This window comes from Homo sapiens, chromosome 11 (assembly GCF_000001405.40).
Source record: "Homo sapiens chromosome 11, GRCh38.p14 Primary Assembly".
NCBI classification, from domain to species: Eukaryota; Metazoa; Chordata; class Mammalia; order Primates; family Hominidae; genus Homo; species Homo sapiens.
In genome coordinates this window covers 101084588-101110932 of record NC_000011.10, presented here as the reverse complement: position 1 = coordinate 101110932, position 26345 = coordinate 101084588, and the positions used below count along the sequence as shown (strand labels likewise).

Here is a 26345-nt window from a genome sequence, read left to right as displayed (position 1 = left end):
ACATGAGCCTTAAGGGAGTTGTAATGTTTTTGCTGGTAGAGGGTCTTGCCTTGATGTGAATGGTCATTGACTTATCGAGGTAGTGATTGCTGGAGGTTGGGGTGTCTGTGGCAATTTCTTTAAATAAGACAACAGTGAAGTTTACCATATCCATAGACTGTTCCTTTCACAAAAGATTACTCTGTAGTATGCAATGCTGTGTTTTACCCACAGTAGAGCTTCTTTGAAAATTGGAGTCACTTTTCTCAAAACCTGCTGCTGCACTATCACCTAAGTTTATATAATATCCTAAATCCTAAATCTTTTGTTGTCATTTCAACAATGCTCACAGCGTCTTCACCAGGAGCAGATTGAATCTCAAGAAACCGCTTTCTTTGCTCATCCATGAGACAAGACCCCTCATGTGTTCAAATTTTATGAGATTTTAGCAATTCAGTCACATCTTTGAACTCCACTTCTAATTCCAGTTCTTTTGCTATTCCTACCACATATGCAGTTACTTCCTCCATGAAGTCTTGAATCCCTCAAAGTCATCTATAAGGGTTTGAATCAACTTCTTCCAAACTGCTGTTAATGCTGATGCTTTGACTTTCTCCGATTAACCACAAATGTTCTTAATGACATCTAAAATGATGAACGCTTTCTAAAAGATTTTCAATGTACTTTGCCCAGATTCATCAGAGGAATTACAATCTATGGCAGCTGTAGCCTAATAAAATGAGTTTCTTAAGTCATAAGGCTTGAAAGTCAGAATTACTCAGTGATCCATGGGCTGCAGAATAGATGTTGTGTTAGCAGGCATGAATACATTAACCTTCTTGTACATTTCCATCAGAGCTCATGGGAATTTTTTTTTCTAAGCAGTAGGTCTCAACAGTGGGCTTAAAGTAGTTAGTGGACCATGCTGTAAATAGATGTGCTGTCACTCAGGCTTTGTTGTTCCATTTCTAGAACACAAGCAGAGTAGATTTAGCATAATTCTTAAGGGCCTTAGGAACTTCAGAATGATAAATGAGGATTGGCTTTAACTTCAAATGCCCAGCTTCATTAGCCCCTAACAAGAGAGTCAGCCTTTCCTTTGAAGCTTTGAAGCCAGGCATTGACTTCTCCTATCTAGCTCTGAAAGTTCTAAATGGCATCTTTTTCCAAGAGAAGACTGTTTTATCTACATTGAAAATCTGTTGTTTAGTGTAGCTACCTTCATCCATGGGCTTAGCTAGATCTTTTGGATAACTTGCTGCAGCTTCTACATCAGCACTTGCTGCTTCACCTTGTACTTTTGTGTTATGGGAATGGCTTCTTTCCTTTAACCTCATAATCCAGCTTCTGTTTTCAAACTTTTCTTTTACAGCTTTCATCCCTCTCTCACCCTTGATAGAATTGAAGAGAATTATGGCCTTGCTCTGGATTAGGTTTGGCTGAAGGGAATGTTGTGGCTGGCGTGATCCTCTATCCAGACCATTAAGCGTTTCTCCATATCAGCTATAAGGCTTTTTTTGTTTTGTTTTTTTGCTTTCTTATCATTCATGTGTTCACTGGAGTAGCACTTTTTAACTTCCTTCAAGAACATTTCCTTTGCATTTACAACTTGGCTAACTGGTGCAAGAGGCCTAGCTTTTGGCCTGTCTTGGCTTTTGACATTCCTCCCTCACGAAGCTTAATCTTTCTAGCTTTTAATTTAAGGTGACACATATGCAACCCTTCCTTTCACTTGAACATTTAGAGGCCATTGTAGGGTTGTTAATTGGCCTGATTTCAATATTGTTGTGACACAGGGAATAGGAAATCATGAAGAAAGAGACAAGGACAGAATGCCAATTGGTGGAGCAGTCTGAACACACACATTTATCAGTTAAGTTTATTGTCTTACATGGGCAAGGTTTGTGGCACCCAAAAACAATTACAGTAATAACATCAAAGATCTCTGATCATAGATCACCATAGCAGAGATGATAATGAAAAAGTTTGAAATATTTTGAGAATTACTAAAACGTGACAGAGACAGGAGGTGAACATGTGCTGTTGGAAAAATGATGCCCATAGTCTTGCTGGATGCAGGGCTGCCACAAACCCTGAATTTGTAAAACATACAATATTTGTGAAGTACAATTAAGCAAAGCGCAATAAGATACGATATGCTTGTATCTCCCTTAATTTTCAGCTAAGAGCTGTTTGAGAAGTTACTGCCATCTCCTTTTTTCAGATATAAGAATTAAAACAAGGAAGGAAGTTAACTTTCCTAAAGATACCTAGCCAGTTAGTAATGGAGCTGGTAACCAAACCCAGTTCTGGCAGACTCCAAAAATTAAACCGCTTTCACTAAAGCACACCACTGGGCACTGTGTTTGAAGCACGAGATGATATTAGCAACTGATTGAAGATTTATTGAAAAGACTTAAAACTCTTATTGTAGTCAAGTCGTTTAAAAATATTTTTTACTTTTAAAATTTATTATTATTTAGAGACAGGCTGGAGTGCAGTGGCATGATCATAGCTCACTGCAGCCTTGAACTCCTGGGCTGAAGTGATACTCCCACCTCAACCTCCAGATATTTTTTTAATAGACAAGGCTTTGCTTTGTTGCAGGCTGGTCTGGAACTCCTGGCCTCAAGCAATCCTCCCAAAGTGCTGGAGTTTCAGGCATAAACCACCTTGCCTAGGCTCATTTTTTTTTTTTTTTTTTTAGACGGAGTCTCATTCTGTCTCCCAGGAGTGTAATGGCACAATCTCTGCTCACTGCAACCTCTGCCTCCCAGGTTCAAGTGACTCTCCTGCCTCAGCCTCCAGAGTAGCTGGGATTACAGGTGCCCACCACCAAGCCCACCTAATTTTTTTATTTTTAGTAGAGACAGGGTTTCACTGTGTTGGCTAGGCTGGTCTCAAACTCCTGACCTTAAGTGATCTGCCTGCCTCAGCCTCCCAAAGTGCTGGGATTACAGGCGTGAGCCACTGCACCTGGCCAGTTCAAATCTTATATATTTTGGTGCCTAGACTTAAATAACATTTAGGAAAATGTTAATTAATTATCCATATAGTTCTACCTTTTTCTTTCTTTTTTTTTTTTTTTACAAAGCCAGTTTCAAGTAAGACTGGGGAGATTCTAGAAAGTTATAACAGAATCTTAAGTCACTTGATATGCCTAAACAGAATTTGAAGAAATAATGAAGTTGAACACATTGATAAACTTAGGATTTCTGTAATCAGGAAGAAAAAACTAAACTTCATAGATATGAGGGAAGGAATTAACCATTTGCATGTATGTAACTGTTATAATCCTACATCAGAGTAGCACAAGGACATGAACAACTTTGTTGACAAATAGTTTTGTAATTTTTTAATGTTTTTTATGTAGCTGTCTTAAACTCCTTTCTCAATAGTATGTGAGGTCAAATGATTGTGGTTTCTTTTTAAAATTTTGCATGTAATGTGTAGTTCCTTACATTCTCTAAATGCTTACTGTTTAGCTAACTATGTTATTATGGATGTCAATTATAACTAAGTACTTCATACAATTTCACGTTTTATAAGTTAGAAGATATGTGAATAATTAGGGCATTTGGAAGAGTTCCAGAGAGATTTTTTTATTTAGAAAGAGAGGAGCAGAACAGCTTCAGGAAAGATAGATGAAAAGCTGATTCATTCAATTTAAGATAGTTGAAGGGAAGAAAAAAGAACACATTATTTAGAATGATGACATGAAGAACTTAATTTCCTTTTTTTACTTATACTTTAAGTTCTGGGGTACATGTGCAGAACGTGCAGTTTTGTTACATAGATATACACGTGCCATGGTGGTTTGCTGCACCCGTCAACCCGTCACCTACATTAGGTATTTCTCCTAATGCTATCTCTCCCCTAGCCCCCCATCCCCTGACAGGCCCAGGTATGTAATGTTCCCCTCCCTAAGTCCATGTGTTCTCATTGCTCAACTCCCACTTATCAGTGAGACAATGCGGTGTTTGGTTTTCTGTTCTTGTGTTAGCTTGCTGATGATGGTTTCCAGCTTCATCCATGTCCCTGCGAAGAACATGAACTCATTCTTTTTTATGGCTGCATAGTATTCCATGGTGTATACGTGCCACATTTGCTTAATCCAGTCTGTCATTGATGGACATTTGGCTTGGTTCCAAGTCTTTGCTATTGTGAATAGTGCTTCAGTAAACATATGTGTGCCTGTGTCTTTATAGTAGAATGATTTATAATCCTCTGGGTTTATACCCAGTAATGGGATTGCTGGGTCAAATGGTAATTCTAGTTCTAGATCCTTGAGGAATTGCTGCACTGTCTTCCACAATGGTTGAACTAATTTACACTCCCACCAACAGTGTAAAAGCTTTCCTATTTCTCCACATCCTCTCCAGCATCTGTTGTTTCCTGACTTTTTAATGGTTGCCATTCCAACTGCCATGAGATGGTATCTTATTGTGATTTTGATTTGCATTTCTCTAATGACTAGTGATGATGAGCATTTTTTCATGTCTGTCGGCTGCATAAATGTCTTTTTTTGAGAAGTGTCTGCTCATATCCTTTGCCCAATTTATGAGGTTGTTTTTTCCTTGTAAATTTAAGTTCCTTCTAGATTCTGGATATTAGTCCTTTGTCAGATGGATAGATTGCAAAAATTTTCTTCCATTCTGTAGGTTGCCTGTTCCCTCTGATGATAGTTTCTTTTGCTGTGCAGAAGTTCTTTAGTTTAATTAGATCCCATTTGTCAATTTTGGCTTTTGTTGCCATTGCTTTTGGTGTTTTAGACATGAAGTCTCTGCCTACACCTATCTCCTGAATAGTGTTGCCTAGGTTTTCTTCTAGGATTTTTATGGTTTGCAGTCTTACATTTAAGTCTTTAATCCATCTTGAGTTAATTTTTGTATAAGGTGTTAGGAAGGGGTCCAGTTTCAGTTTTCTGCTTATGGCTAGCCAGTTTTCCCAACACCATTTATTAAACAGGGAATCCTTTCCCCATTGCTTGTTTGAGTCAAGTTTGTCAAAGATCAGATGGTTGTATATGTGTGGTGTTATTTCTGAGGTCTCTTTTCTGTCCATTGGTCTATATATCCGTTTTGGTACCAGTGCCATGCTGTTTTGGTTACTGCAGCCTTGTAGTATAGTTTGAAGTCAGGTAGTGTGATGCCTCCAGCTTTGTTCTTTTTGCTTAGGATTGTCTTGGCTATGTGGGCTCTTTTTTGGTTCCATATGAAGTTTAAAGTAGCTTTTTCCAATTCTGTGAAGAAAGTCAGTGGTAGCTTGATGGGGATAACATTGAATGTATAAATTACTTTGGGCAGTATGGCCATTTTCACTACATTGATTCTTCCTACCCATGAGCATGGAATGTTTTTCCATTTGTTTGTGTCCTCTCTGATTTTCTTGAGCAGTGGTTTGTAGTTCTCCTTGAAAAGGTCCCTAAAACTTCATTTCTAAAAAAAAAAAAAAAAAAGGAATATGCTACCAAATAGGATTCTTTAAATCAATTGTCTCCTCCTTCAGAAAACATCCAGAACCTGACCTCTTATCACCACCTCCACTGACCACTTTGGTTTAAGCCACTCTTATTCCCCTTCGGATGTATTGCAGTGGTCTCCTGACAGTCTCATTTCTATCCTTACCTTCCTAGATTCCAGAGGTTGAGAGTCTGCCCTCGACTTAGAAGCCATTGTGATACTGTTAAAATATAAGTCAGATCATGTTAGCCGTCTGCTCCAGTGTCTCCAGTGGTACCATATCTTTTAGAGAAAAATCAAATTTCTTACAGTGGCCTTCAAGGCCCTACAGCATCTGCACTCTGCTGCACTCTGATTGTACTATCTACTACTCTTCTCCCTGGCTTAGCCAGCTCTAGCCTTACTCACATCCTCAAACAATCCCTGTCATCTCTTAGCATCTTAGCAATTTCTTCTTTCCTCTCTAATTCCTTTCCCCAACACTCCCCACTTCTCCAACCCATTCCAGCTTCCAGCTTCCAGCTTCCATGAGTATCCTGAAACATAACAAACTTTGGTTACTGCCAGTGTCTCACTTAACACATTCCCCCACTACAGTGTTGTCAAGTTGTTTCATTTAACACCAGTAACATTTAATATCAGTAATAGCCAGATTCTATCTTAGGAAAAATATGCCTAAAATTTATTTGCTGAAAAAAAAAGAAAAGAAAAATTTGGATAATAATCTGCTTTGAGTTATTACAAACACAGCAGTATCTGAGAAGCAAGACTGAGTGTCATAAGGAAACAACCAGATTAAATAAAAGCATAGCTGGATGAGATAAGAAAATACTGCAGTGTGATCCAAAATGCAGTAACAGAGTTAAAATCCATATTGGTCGTCATAAAGAGCAGGAAATAACACCAATTATGTAGAGTTCACATTTAAGGAGTTACTTCGGAATGAAGAGAAATTGGTAAACTGGTGAAAATTACACACTATGATTTATTGTTTTTATTATGTACCAGTCATTGTGGTAACATTTCATCTAATTTAGCTCACTTAATCCATATAACAGCCTTATAAAATGTTTATCTCTATATTATATGTGGGAAAAACTAAGATTTTGATTAAACAATTTTATCATGCTGCAGAAAGTGACAGAACTGAATTTGAATGAAAGTCTATTTGACTCTAAAGCATATGGCCTTATCACTATGCTGTTGGACAACAGATACGATGAATAGAGAGCACATATGCAACCCATAAATATCCAGTGATTCTGAAGAAGAAACTAAAAAACAAGGCAGCAAAAGTATTAATTGATTATAGAAAATGACTCTTCCTTATGTATCTTTTTTACGAGATCATTTCTACATTGTGTCACCAGCACCTAGAACAATGTTGGCACATAGTAGATATTCAAGAAATATTTGTTTATTGAACTGTCATAATTACTGTTAAGCATTTATTCTGTGTCTGTTATGGTGCTATAGATTTTATATACATTATTTTACCCTCAAAGCAACTTTTAAACTGTTATTTTATAGATGAGGATAATGTAGTGCCAAGAAGTTAAATGATCTGCTCAAGGTTATATAGCTAATAATAGGTGGTAGAACACGTATAACAGAAGTAAGTTTAGCAGTTAAATAAAAATTTTACTTTTTAGATCAAAAGGACTCACTGCATCCCAGGTAAATGTAATTTTAAAAAGCTAAAACTTTGCAATATTGGTAATTTTTTAAAATTTTTCATGAGAAGGAAAAACACCCTATATGCATTTAAGTAGGATTAATAAAACTGGTTAACTACTAAGACATAAAAATTGGGTTGACATTAGATTTCCTCTTTGAGTACTAAATGCTGAGATTGGCAAAAATTCCATCAGGTTGAGTTGCTATTCTTGGGTGAAGATAACATATATTCTTATATATGTGAGAGGTCAGGAATATGCCCAGTCTTTACCGAAGTACTTGTTTGTCTGATGGTTGGACTAATTTGGGATTCCTGTAGTGTCCTGTAGTTCAGGGTGAAGTTTAGTAACATGCGGGGGTAAGAGACAGGAGGTGCTATTCTCTGCCCTGCTGCTCACCAGTGTGCTGTATCCCTCCTCAGGATCACCCTTAAGGTCTCAGATGCTCACACCTGGTGTTCAGTGCCCAGTGGTCTGTTCTCTAGCCAGTATATTCTGTGTCGTCTTAGATTCCAGTCCAAAGACTATTTAGATCTGCTCCATCCTTGGGAATTTCCACGCACTTTATTATTTCTTCTAGGGCAGGGGTCCCCAACCTAGAACAAGCCTACGATTTGTGGGTCATACCATACTGACTTTCACCATTTCACTCCTTGAACTATTGAACATACATTATCATTTCTCCTGCCATTTTACTCACCTGCTGCTCACCTCCTGCTGTGAATCAGGCCACACAGCAGGAGGTGAGCAGCAGGTGAGTGAGCATTACTGCCTGAGCTGCACCTCCCATCAGACCAGTGGTGGCATTAGATTCTCATAGCAGCGCAAACCCTATTGCAAACTGCGCGTGCCAGGGATCTAGGTTGTGCTCCTTATGAGAATCTAACTAATGCCTGATAATCTGAAGTGGAACAATTTCATCCTGAAATCACCGCTTCCCCCAACCCCCCCCACCCCTCACTGCCCCCAGTCCGTGGAAAATTCGTCTTTCATGAAACCTGTCCCTGGTGCAAAAAAGATTAGGGACTGCTGTTCTAGAGAAATTAAATGTTTTTATGTCTACTTTGTTACAAGGTTACATGAAATAAACCAGTTAAATGCTTAGTATATTGGTCTCTAATATACTCAATAAGATTTTCCTTCTCTCCTTCACCCCACACCTTTTTCCTTCACTTTTATCAAAAATCCTTGGATCTTCATGAAGATATTTTAAAACCTACTGATTTGTTATTGTCCAGCTGTCTTTCACACTCTGCTAGATAGTCACTCTTCATTCCACTTTACATGACCATCCCCTGACTTACTAACGTGAAAAACTGGTCTGAACCTTTGTCTCATTCTGCATGCATCTTCAGAATATGCTGGATTCCAGAAAACATACAAAAAACTTTAAGGAATAGTACAGCGAATATCTGTAATCAACAATTTGAAGGTAAGTTGCAGACATCATGACATTTCACCTCTTAAGGCTCCAAAATTCATGTCCTAAGGACAAGAACATCTTCCATTACAACCACAATATTATCACCCCAAAATTTTAACATTGATAAAACAATTCTAATATTCAGCTAGTATTAAAATTTCTTCAGTTTTTCCCAAAATGTTTTGTATAGAATGTTTTTTTATTCAGGATCCAGTCAGGAATTGTGTATTTTACTTGGTTAGCAACTCTGTTTAGTTTTCTTTAATCTAAAAAGATCTCCCACCTTTTTTTGTCTTTCAGGACATTGGCATTTTTTTGGGAGTCTAGGCCAGCCGTTTTGTAGAAAGTTCCATAATCTGGCTTTGTCTGATTTTTCCCCCACATAATTATATGCCAGTTAAACGTTTTGACAAGAATCCTACACAGGCCAACGGTTCTCAGACACTGATCTCATGACCCCCTTATGTGCTTAAAAATTGCTACAAGCCCAAAGAGCTTCTGTATACGTGAATTCTCTCTCTCAGTATTTACTGTGTTAGAAATTAAAACTCATAATGTTTTAAAACTTTTTATTAGCTCATTTAAAAAACAGCAAACCCATTAGATACTAATTTTTCAAACCAAAAAATTTAATGACAAGAATGACATTGTTTTACATTTTTATAAGTCATTTTAATGTCTATCTTAATAGAAGACAGCTGGATTCTCATATCTGGATCTACAGTCAATCTGTTCCAATATGTTGTTTTGGTGGAAGCATGGGAAGGAAATGTGGCCTCACACAGATATGTAGTTGGAAAATGGAGGAGTATTTTAATTGTCTTTTCAGACTTGACAAGTGGTGGCCATTTCATTAGGAATTGCAAAAGGATGATTCTCTATTTCTATTATCCCTTCTGATTTTATCAGCTATAAATATTTTTAATAGTTCTCTCTCTCTTCCAAGAGGCAATCTGGTAATCTTAAAATACACTTAATAATGGAAAGCCTAACAGATACTTATTATTTACTTTTAATTTTCAGTTTTCAAAGTTGTTAAGTTTGTGCCCTAGTAATCTCCAGTGGTTTCCAGTGAGTTCCTCTTGTTTCTTTCATTCTTTCTCTTCTTACATATCATTATGTACTCATGTTTTTTAAAATATATATTCAATGTGTTTTAATTACTTGAACCAGTTCTTTTTGATGTTCAAGTGGTTTTAATTTTGGTTGGTGTGAATTATCAGTGGTCAATGAAACACAATTTTATTAGCCCTCAGTAAAAGCAAATCATCTGTCACAGCAAAGCATCCCAGGCTCAACTTGCACATTTCCTGCCCTAGTCCTGGATCAGTCATTTCCCCAAGGAGCTCTGGTTCGTTTTAGATGAAAATTATATTACATGTGAAAATCTGAATTCCTGCTGGAGTTGTCTTTACTTTTGGGCATTTTCAGTGAAGAGACCTAGAAAATACCTCTTTTTGAAAAAGTAAGGGGATCATGAGTTTATACCATGATTTCTCAACCTCACACTATTGACCTATTGGGCCACATAATTGTTGCAGGGGGGGATGTCCTGTGCATTATGGGATGTTATTAGCCTTTTTGGCCTCTCTGCAATAATACCTACCCTCTAGTTGCATAAACCAAAATTGTCTCCAGATATTGTGAAATGTCCTGGTGAGGAAGGGAGCAAAATTGCCTCTAGTTGAGAATTACTGGTTTATGTTTGTATTTCTAGCAAAATCAAAATAATTACTAGTTGTTTTATCTGTATGTATTGTGTGTGTGTGTGTGTGTGTGTGTGTGTGGATTCAAAATACTAGTATCAGCATTATTACCTCTAACAACAAAACCTGCTTTGTAGACTAGTTCTTCCATCTCCTGCATAAAATCTTAGGCCAGTCCCAAAGATTTTAATCAGAAGAACAATCTCATTCCACTAACCGTATTAGTCTGTTCTCATGCTGCTGTGAAGAAATACCTAAGACTGGGTAATTTATAAAAGAAAGAGGTTTAATTGACTCACAGTTCCACATGGCTGGGAAGGCCTCAGGAAACTTACAATCATGGCCCAAGGGGAAGTAAACATGTCCTTCTTTACAAGGCAGCAGGAGAGAGAATGAGTGCCAGTAGGGGAAATGCTAGACTCTTATAAAACCATCAGATCTCATGAGAATTCACTGATTGATCACACTGCTCATGATGATCACGAGAAGAGCATGGGGGGAAACCACCCCCATGATTCAATTACCTCCCACTGAGTTCCTCCCACAACATGGGGGGATTATGGGATTACAATTCAAGATGAGGTTTGGGTGGTGACACAAAGCCAAACCATATCAGTAATCAAAATGCCCAGGGAAGCATTATGCCAAATTTACAAATCCTCTTCTAAGTTTAGATTTCTTCTTTGCCCCAATTCAGCACTCACTGCTTTGAGCTTGAAGCCTAAAGGGAAGAACAAATAAGATCTGCTTCTTCTCTGTTTATGCTGCCTACACTCACCCAATGACAGCTGATTTTGACCCTTCCAGGGCCAACGTGTGGGAAGAGAAGTTAGAGAGCACAGTTTTACACAACAAGTAGGAATTTTAGTGTCACTGGGGTTATCTGTGTTTGGTGGGTGATTACAGGCTGCTCTTCCTCTAGTGGGATACTTTGGTGAGATTCATGGAGATACTTTACTGAGAGCCTCTAACTGTAATCCTGTAATGCTGTAATGCAGTAGACACCTCTCTTCTCTCTGGACATGACCGTGACCCTCTGCTTCTGGACTTCCGCTGACTGACCCTACACAGATTCTGTTGGATCACAATACTCTCTAGGTTGTCCTCTTAGCTGGAGCCAGTTTTTAAAAGAAAGAAACTTTTATTGATAAATATTTTCAGAAAAGCACTCAAAGATGTAGAGCTTATCAGTAGGTAAATGAAACGATGTTATTATCACCCAGACCAAAAAATTTAAAGATCATTAGGTTCCCAGAAGCTCCATTTTGCCCCTTCCAATCATTCCCCAAAAGTAACCGCCATCCCAATTTCTAACATGATAGATTGGTTTGAACTATTTTAGAACTTTATATTAATGGAATCAGATAGTATTTTTCTATGTCTGCTTATTTTACACAACATTATACTTATGTAGTTCATCCACATTTTGCATGGAGCTAGACATTTATTCTCATTGCTGTATAATAATGCATTGAATAAATAAAACCATTTGTTTACACATTATGCTGTAGGTGATCATTTGGGTTGTTTTCAGATTGAGGCTATTATGAACACTGCTGCTATAAATATTCTTGTACAAATCTTTTATTTTTTGCATGTGGACACACCTGTCCCTACAGATAAGCTTTTCATTTGCCTCTCCAAGGACCCTGGCAATTTCACTGGTCCTGTACCAGTCTTTGTTCCTTGGCCCAGGTTCCTATACCATGTGATAGTGAAAATTCACCTCCCATTAAAGGCCAATATTTTATTTTGTTTATGTTGTTTTTGGCATAAATGATTTTTGTCCTCACCCTGAATTTTGGACAGATTCCTGGCTGCCTGGCATTTTCTGTGTAGTGTTTTCTAGCCCTGTTTTCATTGCTAAGGCAGTCTTTTAAGGTTCTACATTTTTATGCATATAGTTCAGCCCTGCCACTCTCTTCCATTGGGACTGAAGTAATATATCCCATCCTCTCATGGGCTTTAAACCCCATTTCTTATCTTTTAGGCATTTCTTATATCTGTATCTGAAACTTTTTTGGATCACTGCAGAGTCCAGTTAAGTTTGTTCCTCCAGCTTTCATTTCTTTTTTCTTTTCTGGCTTATAGAGATTTACCTACCTTTTTTTCCAGACTGAAATTAAGCAACATGCTTCTATTATATTTTATCCAGTATTTCTGTGTTTGTGGTAGAAAGATTGCCCTCATATGGACCAGCTCATGTTGCTTCAAGCCCGTGACTTGTGGGTCATACCATACTGACTTTCACTATTTCATTCCTTAAACTACTGAACATATATTATTTCCTGCCATTTGACTATGTATTTTCCCCTTCTTTTCAAAAATGCCATGAAAAATTGTGAACTCTCTCAGACCTAAGTGAACTATGTTCACTTGTGCTCATATTGAGAAGCAACACAAACAATATAGGTCTCTTATTTTACAGGTAAGTCCCTTTCTTGTTTCTAATAAAGATATTTTATTTCCTAATAAAGATATTTTATTTCCTTTAAAGTGGAATTTTGTCATCTAAAATTTTTGTAAGTCACTAGGCAAATAAAATGATCTAATCACATTTTGATAGTGCTTTTATTTTCACAGAGTATTTTTTATTAAGAGTAACACTTGGGGCTGGGCACGGTGGCTCACGCCTGTAATCTCAGCACTTCAGGAGGCCGAGGCAGGAGGATCACAAGGTCAGGAGATCGAGACCATCCTGGCTAACACGGTGAAACCCCATCTCTACTAAAAATACAAAAAATTAGCCAGACGTGGTGGTGGGCGCCTGTAGTTCCAGCTACTCGGGAGGCTGAGGCAGGGGAATGGCATGAATCCAAGAGGCAGAGCTTGCAGTGAGCTGAGATGGCTCCACCGCACTCCAGCCTGAGCGACGGAGCGAGACTCCGCTCAAAAAAAAAAAAAAAAAGAGTAACACTTGGAAATAATCTTGTTAGACTTCACATTTAATTATGGTCTATTACTATAAAAAGGTGAGAAATTACTGAATAAAAAGCATTCTGTAAGAAAAAAAGTTAAAAGGTGGTAAAAAATCAGAAGCAAGTGACTATTTACTATATATGACAATAAGTGACATATGTCTTATACTGTTGAGTATAACTATATTTACAAATATAAGCGAAACAATAGGTATAATTGTATATACACCTATCTAAAAAATATTTATCAAGCTGTATTTTACACAAGAGTTAAAAGTATCAAACTGAGTAGTTCCTACTCTTATAGAACCTAGTAGCTATAGACACAAAGTATACAATAGGAATACATTGAATGTGCAGTTGGTACACAGAAGAAATGTCTAAAGCCTTTATGAGAGCAGTCAGGTAAGACCAGATGAGGGGAGCAGTTAAGCCAAGGCTTGAAAGACGAGTGAGATTTTGTTAAGTTGATAAATTGGAAGGAAGGGAGGAAAGTCATAGAGGCATGAGAGAGTTTGGGGGTAATCCAAGGATGTTAGTACTCTGGAGCATAAAGAACATGGGAAAGAGTATGTGATTAGAAAGAAAAGACATAACAGTTTGAACTCACCCCCTGCTTTCCCCACCCTAAAATAGATCAGTTTTGCAAGGAGAAAGAAGCATAGTGCTCTATTAAGCTCCCCAGGTTTCAACAGGGGCAGATGATGCATATATTAAGGGAGAGAGCTAGATAGTGGCTCCTAGTGGGGTGAACTCCCCTATTTATCATTATGCCATGTAACCTGTTTGTGGTGGCTTATAGCTTATAAGTGTTCCTAAATGTCTTATAACTCCTGGTGGTGATAATGTAGGTAAACAGCAAAGATGGCAGCAAATGGAATGCTCTGAGTGGTTTAATATAGTGACGTGTTTTACACTTGTTGTAGAATCACAATGTTATGTTGGACTGAGGAGAAGAAATAATACGCAATTTGAGCCATCAACCTACGGTTTATGAGTGAGTGAGTGGATCTAGACAGGGATGTGTTTCTCAAAACCAGAATATAAACTGTGGGCTGTTGTCTGAAGAAAATGGTAGCAACTGATGTTATGTTAGATTTTCATCTTTTTCTAGATTTCCAGGAAAATGTTGTGACAGGGCTAATGCACTTGTGCCTGACCTTTCTTCACCTGCATATACAGCCAGGTACCTGAAGTAGCGAGTGGCTCCCACTGCATTCATTGCATTCTTGGTGGCTCTGAGTCCTGGCCATGCATTATGGTTCAGAGGCAATGCCTGGGCCCCATGCCAAATTCCCTTAGTCGGCTCTAGTTGGAACTGGCTGGCTACAACATTTCTTTAAGCCAAAACATTGCTTGAGAAGATAAACCTTTAACTGTACTCCCCATATTTTGTTTGCATGATAATGCATCTACTTTGCAGTTTTGATGGCTCATCACTTAATGTTAAAGATGATGAAAAGTTAGAGTGAATTGAGCTTCCAGATTTCTTTAAGCCATTCCAGCCTGTCACAGGCAGTCTACAATGATATGAGTCGTGCCAACCCCTCAAGGTCGTGACTTCATGCCAGTGCCCTTAATTATTAAAAATTATCCTTCCAACTCAAACTTTAAATATTGGACATCTAAGTCATTTTTTCTTCCAAACTTATAAGAATTGCATTCTGTTTGGTAACTATAATTTCCTTATTTATACTCATGTTTAAATTTATACTTATGTTTAAATTTATTTGGTACTTATCATCAGTCTCTTCATACCAGACTTCCTACCTCATACATTGTCTGCTATAACGTATCTGTTGTTGACTGGATTACATCTTTTGGAAGAGCATACTGGGGTCTTATTTCCCAATTTCATGCAAGTTTGAGAATATCTTTAAGTTGCCTTTAAAACTGAATAACTTGACTAGATATAGACTTCTTGGACCACATCTAGAAAAAATCTAACTATATTTGAGATTTAGATGTGTGATAATCATAATTATAATAGACATTTGTTAAGTACTTGCTATGTGCCAGACTATTCTAAGCTCTTACATGAGCTTGTGTATTCCTTAGATCCAATCCAAGGTACTAATGTTATCTTCATTTTAATTGCCAAATGTCATCTAGCTACTAAGTGATGAGATTGACATTCACACTTAAACAGTAACTTTCTATACTACCTCTCAAGATAATTAACCTAAAATGTTTTAACTGTGTGACCTTGAGCATGTTATTTAACTTCTAGATGCCTCAGTTAACTCTGTATAAAATGAGAATATTAATACCTCCAAAGGTTGCTTTGATGATGAAATGAGTTAATATATGTCAATAGCTCATAACAATGCCTGGCACATAGTAAGTGCTTAATAATTGTCTGTTGTTCTTTTATTATTTTTATTTGTGGATAGTAAGTTGCAGATCTGAGCTTTGAACAAGCAGTCTGGCCTCTGTAACTTTGCTCTTCGGTACTACAATGTAGTGTCAGCAATTAAGATGGCATTTTAATTTAGTGGGGGAAAACATGGATTAGTCAGTAAATAGTGTTGGGATATAGTAGATACTCAATACTTGTTGAATGAATGAGAGTTTTATAAAAGTATAAATACATTAACTTAAATATTAACAAATAGATATTAAATACCATTTAGATTTGTATAGACAGTTTGGAAATACTTTAGTCTGTTCCACTGCAATAAAAAAATACCTTAGACTGGGTAGTTTATAAATACAGAAATATTTTCTGATGGTTCTAAAGGCTGAGAAGTCCAAGATCAAGGTGGCACAGATTCCATGTCTGGTAAAAGCTTGCTGTCTTCTTCCAAGATGGCGCCCCTTGCTGCATCCTCACATGGCAGAAAGGATAAAAAGGACCAAATTCACTCCCTCAAGCCCTTTTAAAAGGGTACTGATTCCATCCATGGAGGCAGAGACCCCACCTCTTAATATTGTCACATTGGGGATTAAGTTTCAATATGAATTTTGAAGGGGACACAAACATTCAAACCATAGCAAGAAGGAAGCAAAAATGAGAATAGATGCATGATTATCAAATTGTAGGTTATTTTCTGTTTTGAATTTCCTTACGTTCTTATATAATTTCTCTAATAATACAATTCATGATATAATTTGTACAGATAACCACTTAGTTGTATTTTGTATATATTGAGTTTGAGGTACCTAGAAATATGACTGGAAGGTCAGAGCTCATATTGAGATTTTGGGACCATCAGAAGATAATGAGACAGACTACCCACAAAGTGTGTGCAGTGGCACACCACATATAAGGAATAAGCAAAGTAAGAGGAGTTGACAAAGGGAATTTAAAAGGAAGTGCTGGAAAGACAGGTCAAGAGTCAGAAAAGAGAGGCCCCAAAATATGAATCAATGGGACAGGTGGGGAAAGAAATTACCTGAAGCAAATGATTCAGGTCAGGAAAGCATTCACAGCATTTAGGAATGAAAAAATATTTGATGATGTTAAGCCATTTTATAAGAATAGTGAATATACAAGTCAAATTACCACATAGGAATAAAGGAAGTTAGGTAGAAACAGCAAATGTAGATGATGTTTTCGACAACTTTGAGGACCAAAAAAAGGGGAATGTATTCAGGGAGAATCTAGAGTGAGCTAGGGTTCCTTTTTTTGGTGCTGGAACTTTTTTGGATGGAAAAATAATGAGAGAGCAGGACATCACTGGACTGGAGAGACTAAAGACTTTAGGAGAGAAAGGAGGAAATTGATGGAGCAAGACTTGAAAGCAGATAGGAAGGAATTGTTTGAAGGACAAAAGCAAAAACCATTGGTAAGGAGGACTCTTTGAGACACTGAATAAGGAGATGATATCGTAGGCCATTTTAGAAATGTAAGTGAGACAGATCAGCAGCATGCCAGCTTCTGGTGTTTAGATCAGACCTTTTTCCTGCGTATTTATGACCAAGGAGCAGACAGTAGGACAGCCTCTCTTCAAACAATTACATCTGCGTGCTCTATTTCTCGAAGTCTGTTTTCTGTATAGAGAAAACCTTGGTGGGCGTGGTGGCTCATGCCTGTAATCCCAGCACTTTGGGAGGCCAAGGCGGGCAGATCACCTGAGGTTGGGAGTTCGAGACCAGCCTGACCAACATGCAGAAACCCTGTCTCTACTAAAAATACAAAATTACCCAGGCGTGGTGGTGCATGCCTGTAATTCCAGCTACTCAGAGGCTGAGGCAGGAAAGTTCCTTGAACCCAGGAGGTGGACGTTGTGGTGAGCCGAGACTGTGCCTTTGCTTTCCAGGCTGGGCAACAAGAGCGAAACTCCGTCTGAAAGAAAAAGAATAGAAAATCTTGCTATTTTCTGTTCTCTCTTCTTGTGAGATATCAGTATAGGGTAGAAATAGATGATCAACTGATAGACTGACTTACACACACCTTGCTCTCACAGTCACTCCTATAGCCTAAATATATAACTTGTGGTAAAAAAAAAAAAAATTAGAGTCAAATCAGAAAGTAGTATGCAGTACACTCTGCTAACCTCCTGTAGGACTGGCACTATGTGCACAAAAGTCAGCAAAGATATGAGGCTTCACAGTTACCCTTTATTAGGTGAAGGCTTAATTCCTGGGACTCTAAACAAGAGATGAACACTATGTGAGTGTACATGAACATAAGTTTATAGAGGCATGCATCTTTAAGAAAATATTTGTGCTTTTCCAGAAATGCATGAGGTCAGGAACCTTCTTGATATCAGCTGTCACATATATAGGCCTTTTGGCATTTTTGCCCTTTGCCGTTTAGGCTAATCCTTTCCCCTGCTTGATTAAGTACATGTTTTAGGTACCTCTGAGTTCCTTTACTACCAACTTTGGCCAGAAGACTCTGATTTTAATCTTAACTAATGTAAAATACTACAGGAAAATCCCATGATCTTTTAAAATTATGTGTCATGCTTCAGCAGTATAAGTAGGCTGAAGTAGGCTGATGATATTAAAAGACTCACAGTCTGTTTTAAAGAAATTTATTGGGAAAAAAAGAGAGTGTCAAAAATAGTAAATTAACGTTTACATGTTTAAGCTGAATTTTTTTATTTTTGTTAAATCTAAATAAATTAGATTGTTCCGTGCCTTATTAACATATTTGTGGTTTAAAAATCATTATTGAATATTAAATTCATGTGCCAGACCTTTTTAAAGGCATCCATAGTTTCCTCTACACAAAGTGACCCCAGGGTGATGTGCGATGTGTATTGTCTATACTTCTATAAAGTTTCTCCTCTTTATTGAGTACTTCTATCTGTTTTAAGTTCTTCCTTTATCATTATTTCTGTTCAAGGTATTTTCTAATGTGTAGTCAAAATAAGGCAGGTATTAAATTCAGTACAATAAGTGATCTTTTTTACATGCTCTTCCATTGATTCCTTAAAGAGAGAACCAGCTCTGGGATTTTTCCAATAGAACTAAGCATTTAGATTTTTTTTTAAAAGGTCTTTTCCAGAGGCCTCTTCAATTCTTTAGTCTGTATCTGTTTTCTTGAAGGCATCAATGTCAGAAAGAAAGGTTTTACTAGAGTTTGACCACCTGGTACAACTAATGCTTATCAGAAACGTGTAGCTAATCTTGAAATGACATCTAAAGGCAATCTGATACTGACACCATTAAGAAGATAAACAGAAATCTCTTGCAAAAGATTTTTAAAGGAGCCCTAGGATTGATTCTTCAGCTATGCTCACCTAATTTAGGCTCCTAAAGGCACAGGTAAAGTACTGAGCAGTTTTATAGCTTCACCAACATTCAGCTGTGCCAGGCAGGAAGCTGGCTGAGTCATGCACTTGCTGATGTGTATCTAGTCTCTATTTCAGTTGTCACTGCATAGAATTTCCAGTGAATCTTAGATATTGTAAATAATTTTGACTCATTTTGTTTTTTTAGGGCAGCACAACTACTTATGTGCTGGAAGAAATGACTGCATCGTTGATAAAATCCGCAGAAAAAACTGCCCAGCATGTCGCCTTAGAAAGTGCTGTCAGGCTGGCATGGTCCTTGGAGGTAATTCTGATGTTTTCATCAATAATATACTGTGTAATCTTTATACTATAAAACTGTGTGTCAGAAAATTGCAATTTCTTATTCATCTTTGTTTTTGTTTTTTCTGTCTTGATTATTGGCAGTGACTCTGCACATGTGAGTGTCTGAATGAAGCAACCAATACCATTCCATTAACTTTACAGTTTTCTAGCACATTGAGGTCTGTTAAGAGAAGAAAACTCAATTCATCTATATTGCCTATAAGTAGAGGTAATGGGCAATGTACTGACCTGTCATTAAGTAACATGTGTGGGAGTCTAGGCTTTGCTGCCCATCTCCTGTGTGACCACAGCTCTTCCTGGGCATCAGTCTACTTATCTGTAAAACGAGAGCATTAACATTCCTTTCAGCTCAAAAAATTGACTCTGCAAATTGGTCAGGTACATTGCTTACTAGCTTCTCCAAGTGATTGATTAAAGCAAGATTACTGTAACTGGGGTAGGAATCCATTTGATGAAGAGTTATATTAATAATTCCCTTTTCCCATATTTTTATTAGAATCTCTAAAACTTTCAGTAATATAGCACACATTTAAAAAATTAATGTCAGATAGTGACAGATAGTTTGAATGAAAACATAGCAGAGTGAGGGAGATCAAGCGAGCCACAGTTATGCAAGACACCCGTACTCCCTTGAATTTTTTCACTTAGCCACATCCTGCACAACACTGTCTGGGAATCGTAGCTTTTACATCTAGATATAACTTTTTAAAAACATAATAAAAATATTACATAATTGTTAAAGCTAAAAATGTTTTTTCAGTGCACTAACTATAAACAGCTTGTGTTCCATGGACGTTGTGTGTATTTTCCTTTGGGAAATGCTATATTTAGACCAATGCTTGTCAAGTTTAAAGCGTATACAACTGTCACCTCATTTGTTTTTGCAAATGTGCTGGACCAAAATTAATCACCCAGGTAACATACTGGGCACTTTACAGTAATTCATGTAATTAGATCACTTATAGAATTTTATAATTTCTTGATTAAAGATTTGTTTTCCTAAGTTAAGGGCAGTGATTAGGTTGACAGTAGTGCCTGGCTTAAGGAGGTGCTCAGTAACTTTCTATTAAATGAATAAAACCACAACCTCAGCAGATTAAAATTGTTTTTGAGTCCCACACCTCAATTACCACCTCTTTGTATTTCTGTTTCAACTCAGAAGTCTTAAGGAACCTCCTAAATTTTAGAAAATACAACTTTTTCACAAAATCACACATCTAGTCAATGTCGGAGCCAGAAGAAAGACCTGAAGGTATTCTGACCCTGGCGCAGCCATTGTTTTCTCCTTGGCATGCTTGCCTTAGAAAGTAGCAGAGCATCTAATGCTGACACTTAGATTCCATTAAGATCTTTAATCTTGAGTGTTTTCCCAATGACTTTAAAAGACTCTTCAATTTTATCAAAGAATGAAAATGGCGGAGTTCTGGATAGAACCTTCAGAATACTCCTGGGGATCAGCAATATAACCTAGAGAAATTTATGTTATCTTTTAATATTCTAGGGCTTTATTTATTTATTTTTGAGACAGAGTCTCACTCTGTCGCCCAGGCTGGAGTGCAATGGTGCAATCTTGGCTCACTGCAACCTCTGCCTCCCAGGTTCCAGCGATTCTCCTGCCACAACCTCCCAAGTAGCTGGTATCATAGGCACCCGCCATTACGCCCAGCTAATTTTTGTATTTTAGTAGAGATGGGGTTTCACCATGTTGGCCAGGCTGGTTTTGAACTCCTGACCTCAGGTGATCTGCCCACCTCGGCCTTCTAAAGTGCTGGGATTACAGGCGTGAGCCACTGCACCCGGCCTTTAGCATATTATTCAAGCATCTGTAATCCTTTATCTTCTCTAACCAAACTGCTTGTTACTTTAGCCTGTTATTCCTATGCTTCCCAAGCCATATTCTACGGGCTTCACAGCTATTGCTGCATTTTCATACCTTTTATATTACTTATTTGTTTAACTCTACTCCCTCCATCTCTCCCTCCTTTCCGTCCCTCCCTCCCTCCCTTCCTTCTTCTTTCCTTCCTCCCTCTTCTCCCTCAATCGCTTTCTAATTTGCACCCCATCCCTTTCTTTCAGTAACTGTATATCGAGCCCTTTCTAGTTACCAGATACTATTCTAAGTTCTGCGCATATAGCAGCAAAGAAAATGGACAAAATTCCTGCCCTCATAGATCTTACACTGTGGGAGGACGAGCAACAAATGTACATGTCAAATAATGATAAGTGCTGTGGAAAGATATTAAGCAGAGTTAGTGGGGATTATCAGGAAGCAGACTCACTACTAAACTCATTAGTCTAATATTTTTGTTTTGCTTAGCCTCTTCCTAAGCAATAATATCTCTGAAATAATGGATTTGATATGCCAGTTATAATTTTTCTAAAAGACATTAATATACATTCTTAACTATTTAAATATATATTCGATGTACCACCTAAAAACTGCTTGTATACCATAAATGATTATGTGTTAAACTCTGGGAAAGAGTGTATTAGACCATTTTTTTCCAGCTATCGCAGCTCTATTTATTTTTTCAGCTTTTATTTTAGCTTCAGTGGGTACATGTGCAGGTTTGTTACCTGGGTATATTGTGTGACACTAATGTTTGAGGTACAAATGATCCCATCACCTAGGTACTGAGGTACTGAGCATAGTACTCAATAGTTTTTCAACCCTTTCTTCTTCTTCCTTCCTCCTCTAGTAGTCCTCAGTTTCCATTGTTATGCTCATGAATACCCAATGTCTAGCTCCCACTTATAAGTGAGAACATGCAGTATTTGGTTTTTTGTTCCTGTGTTAATTTGCTTAGGGTCTTGGCCTACAGCTACATCCATGCTGCTGCAAAGGATGTGACTTCGTTCTTTTCATGGCTGCATAATATTCCATGGTGTATATATGCCACATTTTCTTTGTCCAATCCACTATTAATGGGTGCCTCAGTTAATTCCATGTCTTTGCTTTTGTGAGTAGTGCTGTGATGAACATGTGAGTGCATGTGTCTTTCTAGTAGAACAATTTATTTTCTTTTGGCTATATATCCAGTAATGGGATTGCTGGTCTAATGGTAGTTCTGTTTTAAGTTCTTTGAGGGCCGGGAGCGGTGGCTCATGCCTGTAATCCCAGCACTTTGGGAGGCCAACGCAGGTGGATCATGAGTTCAGGAGATGGAGACCATCCTGGCTAACACAGTGAAACCCCGTCTCTACTAAAAACACAAAAAAATTAGCCAGGCATGGTGGCAGGCGCCTGTAGTCCCACCTACTTGGGAGGCTGAGGCAGGAGAATGGCATGAACCTGGGAGGCGGAGCTTGCAGTGAGCTGAGTTCGCGCCACTGCACTCCAGCCTGGGCGACAGAGCGAGACTGTCTCAAAAGAAAAAAAAATGTCTTTTGAGAAGTGTTCAAACCAATTTCTACCGTGGCAGAACTAATTTACATTCCCACCAACAGTATATAAGTATTCCCTTTTTTCCACAGCCTCACCAGCATCTATTAGGTTTTGAGTTTTTTGAGTTTTCTTTTTTGAGACAGAGTCTCACTCTGTCACCCAGACTGGAGTGCTGTGGCACAATTATGGCTCACTGCAGCCTCAATCTCCTGGGCTCAAGTGATCTTCCTACCTCAGCATCCTGAGTAGCTGAGACTACAGGCACGCACCACCACACCTGGCAAACTTTTTATTTATTTTTTTTTTGTAACGATAAGGTCTCACTTTGTTACCCAGTCAGGTCTCAAACTTCTGGGCTCAAGTGATCCTCCCAAAGTGCTGGAATTACAGGTGTGAGCCACCATGCCTGGCATGAGTTTTTAATAATAGTCATTCTGATTGGTGTAAGATGGTATGTCATTGTCGCTTTGATTTGCATATCTTAATGATTAGTGATATGGAGCATTTTAAATGTTTGTTGGCTGCTTGTATGTCTCCTTTTGAGAAATGTCTGTTCAAGTCTTTTGCCCATTTTTTTGGTGAGATTTTTTTTTTTTGCTTGTTCAACTGTTTAAGTTCCTTATAGATTCTGGATATTAGACATTTGTTGGAGGCATAGTTTGTGAACATGTTCTCCTATTCTGTTGGTTGTCTGTTAACTCCATTGGTAGTTTATTTTGCTGTGCAGAAACTCTTTAGTTGAATTAGGTCTCACTTGTTAATTTTTGTTTTTGTTTCAATTGCTTTTGAGAACTTAGTTAGAAATTATTTCCCAAGGCTGATATCCAGAATCATATTTCCTAGATTTTCTTTTAGGATTCCTATGGTTTGAGGTGTTATATTTAAATCTTTAATCTACCTTGAGGTAATTTTTGTATATGGTGAAATGTAGGGGTCCAATTTCATTATTCTGCATGTGACTAGGTAGGTATCCCAGCACCATTTATTGAATAAGGAATCCTTTCTGCATTGCTTATTTTTGTCAACATTGTCAAAGATCAGATGGCTGTAGGTGTGCACCTTTATTTCTGGGTTCTATATTCTGTTCCATTGGTCTATGTGTCTGCTCTCGTGCCAGTATCATGCTGTTTTGGTTACTGTAGCCTTACAGTATAGTTTGGAATTGGGTAATGTGATGCCTCTGACTTTTCTTTTTGTTTAGGACTGCTGTAGTTATTTGGGCTCTTTTGATTTTATATAAATTTTAGAATAGCTTTTTCTAGTTCTGGAAAAAATGTCGTTGGTAGTTTGATAGGAATAACATTGAATCTGTAAATTGCTTTGGACAGTATGGCCATTTTAACAATACTGATTCTTCTAATCCATGAACATGGAATGTTTTTACATGTGTTAGTGTCATCTGTGATTTCTTTTAGCAATGTTATGTAGTTATCCATGTAGAAATCTTTCATCTGCTTAGTTATATGTATACCTAGGTATTTTGTGTGTGTGTGTGGCTATTTTAAATGGGATTACTTTCTTGATTTGGCTCTCACCTTGAATGCTATAGTTGTATAGAAATGGTACTAATTTTTACATGTTCATTTTGTGTCCTGAAACTTTACTGAAGTCATTTATCAGTTTTAGGAGCCTTTTGGTGGAGTCTTTAGGGTTTTCTAGTTATAAAATCATGTAATATGCAAGAGAGATAGTTTGACTTCTTTTTTTCATGTTTGAATGCCTTTTATTTCCTTCTCTTGCCTGACTGCTCTGGCTAGCACTTCCAGTGTTAACAGGAGTGGTGAGAGTGAGCATCCTTAACTTTTTCCAGATCTCAAGGAAAATTCTTCCAGCTTTTGCCCATTCAGTCTGATATTGGTTGTGAGTTTGTCATTTTGGTCTCTTATTGTTTTTAGGTATATTTCTTTGTTGCCTAGTTTCTTGAGGGTTTTTATCATGAAGTGGTATTGCATTTTATCGAAAGCTGTTTCTGTGTCTATTGAGATGATCATATGGTTTTATTTTTAATTCTTCTCATGTGGTAAATCATATTTATTGATTTGCATATATTGAGCTAACCTTCCATACCAGGAGTGAAGCCAACTTGATCGTGGTAAATTAACTTTGATGTTTGATTTGGTTTGCTAGTGTTTTGTTGAGAATTTTTGTGTCTGTGTTTATCAGAGATATTGTCCTATAGTTTTCCTTTCTCATGGTATCTCTTACAGGTTTTGGTATCAGGGTGATACTGGCTTCAGAAAACGAGTTAGGGAGGAGTCTTTCCTTCTCGATTTTTTGAAATAGTTTCAGTAGAATTGGTACCAGCTCTACTTTGTGCATCTGGTAGAATTTAGCTGTGAATCTCTCTGGCCAGGGCTTTCTTTTTGGTTGGTAAGTTTTTTATTACTAATTCCATTTGGAACCCAATATTGGTCTGTTCAGTGCTTTAGTTTTTTCCTGATTTAAACTTGGGACATTGTGTGTTTTCAGGAATTTATTCATTTCCTCTAGATATTGTAGTTTGTGTGTGTAGAGGTGTTCACAATAGTTATCTAAGGATCTTTCATATTTCTGTGGGATCAGTTGTGATGTCACCTTTGTCATTTCTGTTTGTGTTTATTTGGATCTTCTCTCTTTTTTTCTTTGTTAATGTAGCTAGCAGTCTATCAATCTTATTTATCCTTTAAAAAAATAACTTTTGGTTTTGTTGATTCTTTGTATAGATTTTTGGGTCTCAATTTCATTTGGTTCTGCTCTTTAGTTCGTCCTTTTCTTCTGCTAGCTTTAGGGATAGTTTGTTCTTGTTTTTTTTTTTTTTTTTTTTTTTTTAGTTCCTCTAGGTGTGATGTTAGGTCATTAATTTGAGATCTTTCTAACTTTTTGAGGTAGGCATTTAGAGCTGTAAACTCTCCTCTTAATATTGTTTTTGCTACATTCCAGAGATTTTGGTATGTTGTGTCTGTTTTCATTTATTTTAATTTTTTTTTATTTCTGCCTTGATTTTATTGTTTACTCAAAGTTATCCAGAGCAAACTTTTTAATTTCCATGTAATTGTGTGGTTTGTACAGATCTTCTTGATGTTGGTTTCTCTTTGTATTCCACTGTGACCTGACAGTATGACTGGCATGATTTTGACTTTTTAAAATGTACTGAGTCTTGGTTTATGGCCAAGGATGTGGTGAATCTTGGAGTATATGTTCTGTGTACAGATGAGAAGAATTTACGTTCTGTGGTTGATGGGTGGATTATTCTGTAGATGTTTATTAGATCCAATTGGACAAGCATTGAGTTTAAGTCCAGAATTTCTTTGTTAGTCTTCTGCCTTGATGATCTAATGCTATCAGTCCCCCACTATTGTTGTGTGGCTTTCTAGGTCCTTAGAAGTCCTTGTTTTATGAATCTGGGTGTGCCAGTGTTGAGGGCGTATGTATTTAGGATAGTTAAATCTTCTTATTGAACTCTTTATCGTTATGCCCTTATTTTTCCTTTTTTACTGTTGTTAAAGTCTGTTTTATCTAATCTAAGAATAGCAACCCCTGCTCTTTTTTGTTTTCTGTTTGCATGCTACATCTTTCTCCAACCCTTTACTTTGAGCCTATGGTTGTCATTACATGTGAGATGGGTTTCTTGAATACAGAAGATGGATGAGTCTGGTTTTCCTAGCTGGTTTGCCACTCTGTGACTTTTTTTTTTTTTTAGATGGAGTCTTACTCTGATGCCCAGGCTGGAGTGCAGTGGCGCAATCTCAGCTCACTGCAACCTCCAC

General features: G+C 37.5%; 1 protein-coding gene across 8 annotated transcripts in view; it reads left to right on the top strand.

Moving 5' to 3' along the window:
* PGR (progesterone receptor) overlaps window positions 1–26345 on the top strand; it is a 100190-nt gene that overhangs the window by 18881 nt on the left and 54964 nt on the right. For 7 of the 8 annotated variants that reach the window (NR_073143.3, NR_073141.3, NM_001271162.2 and 4 more), the window contains exon 3: window positions 19057–19173. The exons of the other annotated variant lie outside the window; for it this stretch is intronic. Coding sequence is in view for 5 of the 7 variants with exons in the window: in NM_001271162.2 (NP_001258091.1) it covers window positions 19057–19173 (117 nt within the window). In the remaining 2 variants the exon portion in view is untranslated. The remainder of the gene's footprint in view (window positions 1–19056; window positions 19174–26345) is intronic. 8 annotated transcript variants of the gene reach the window in all.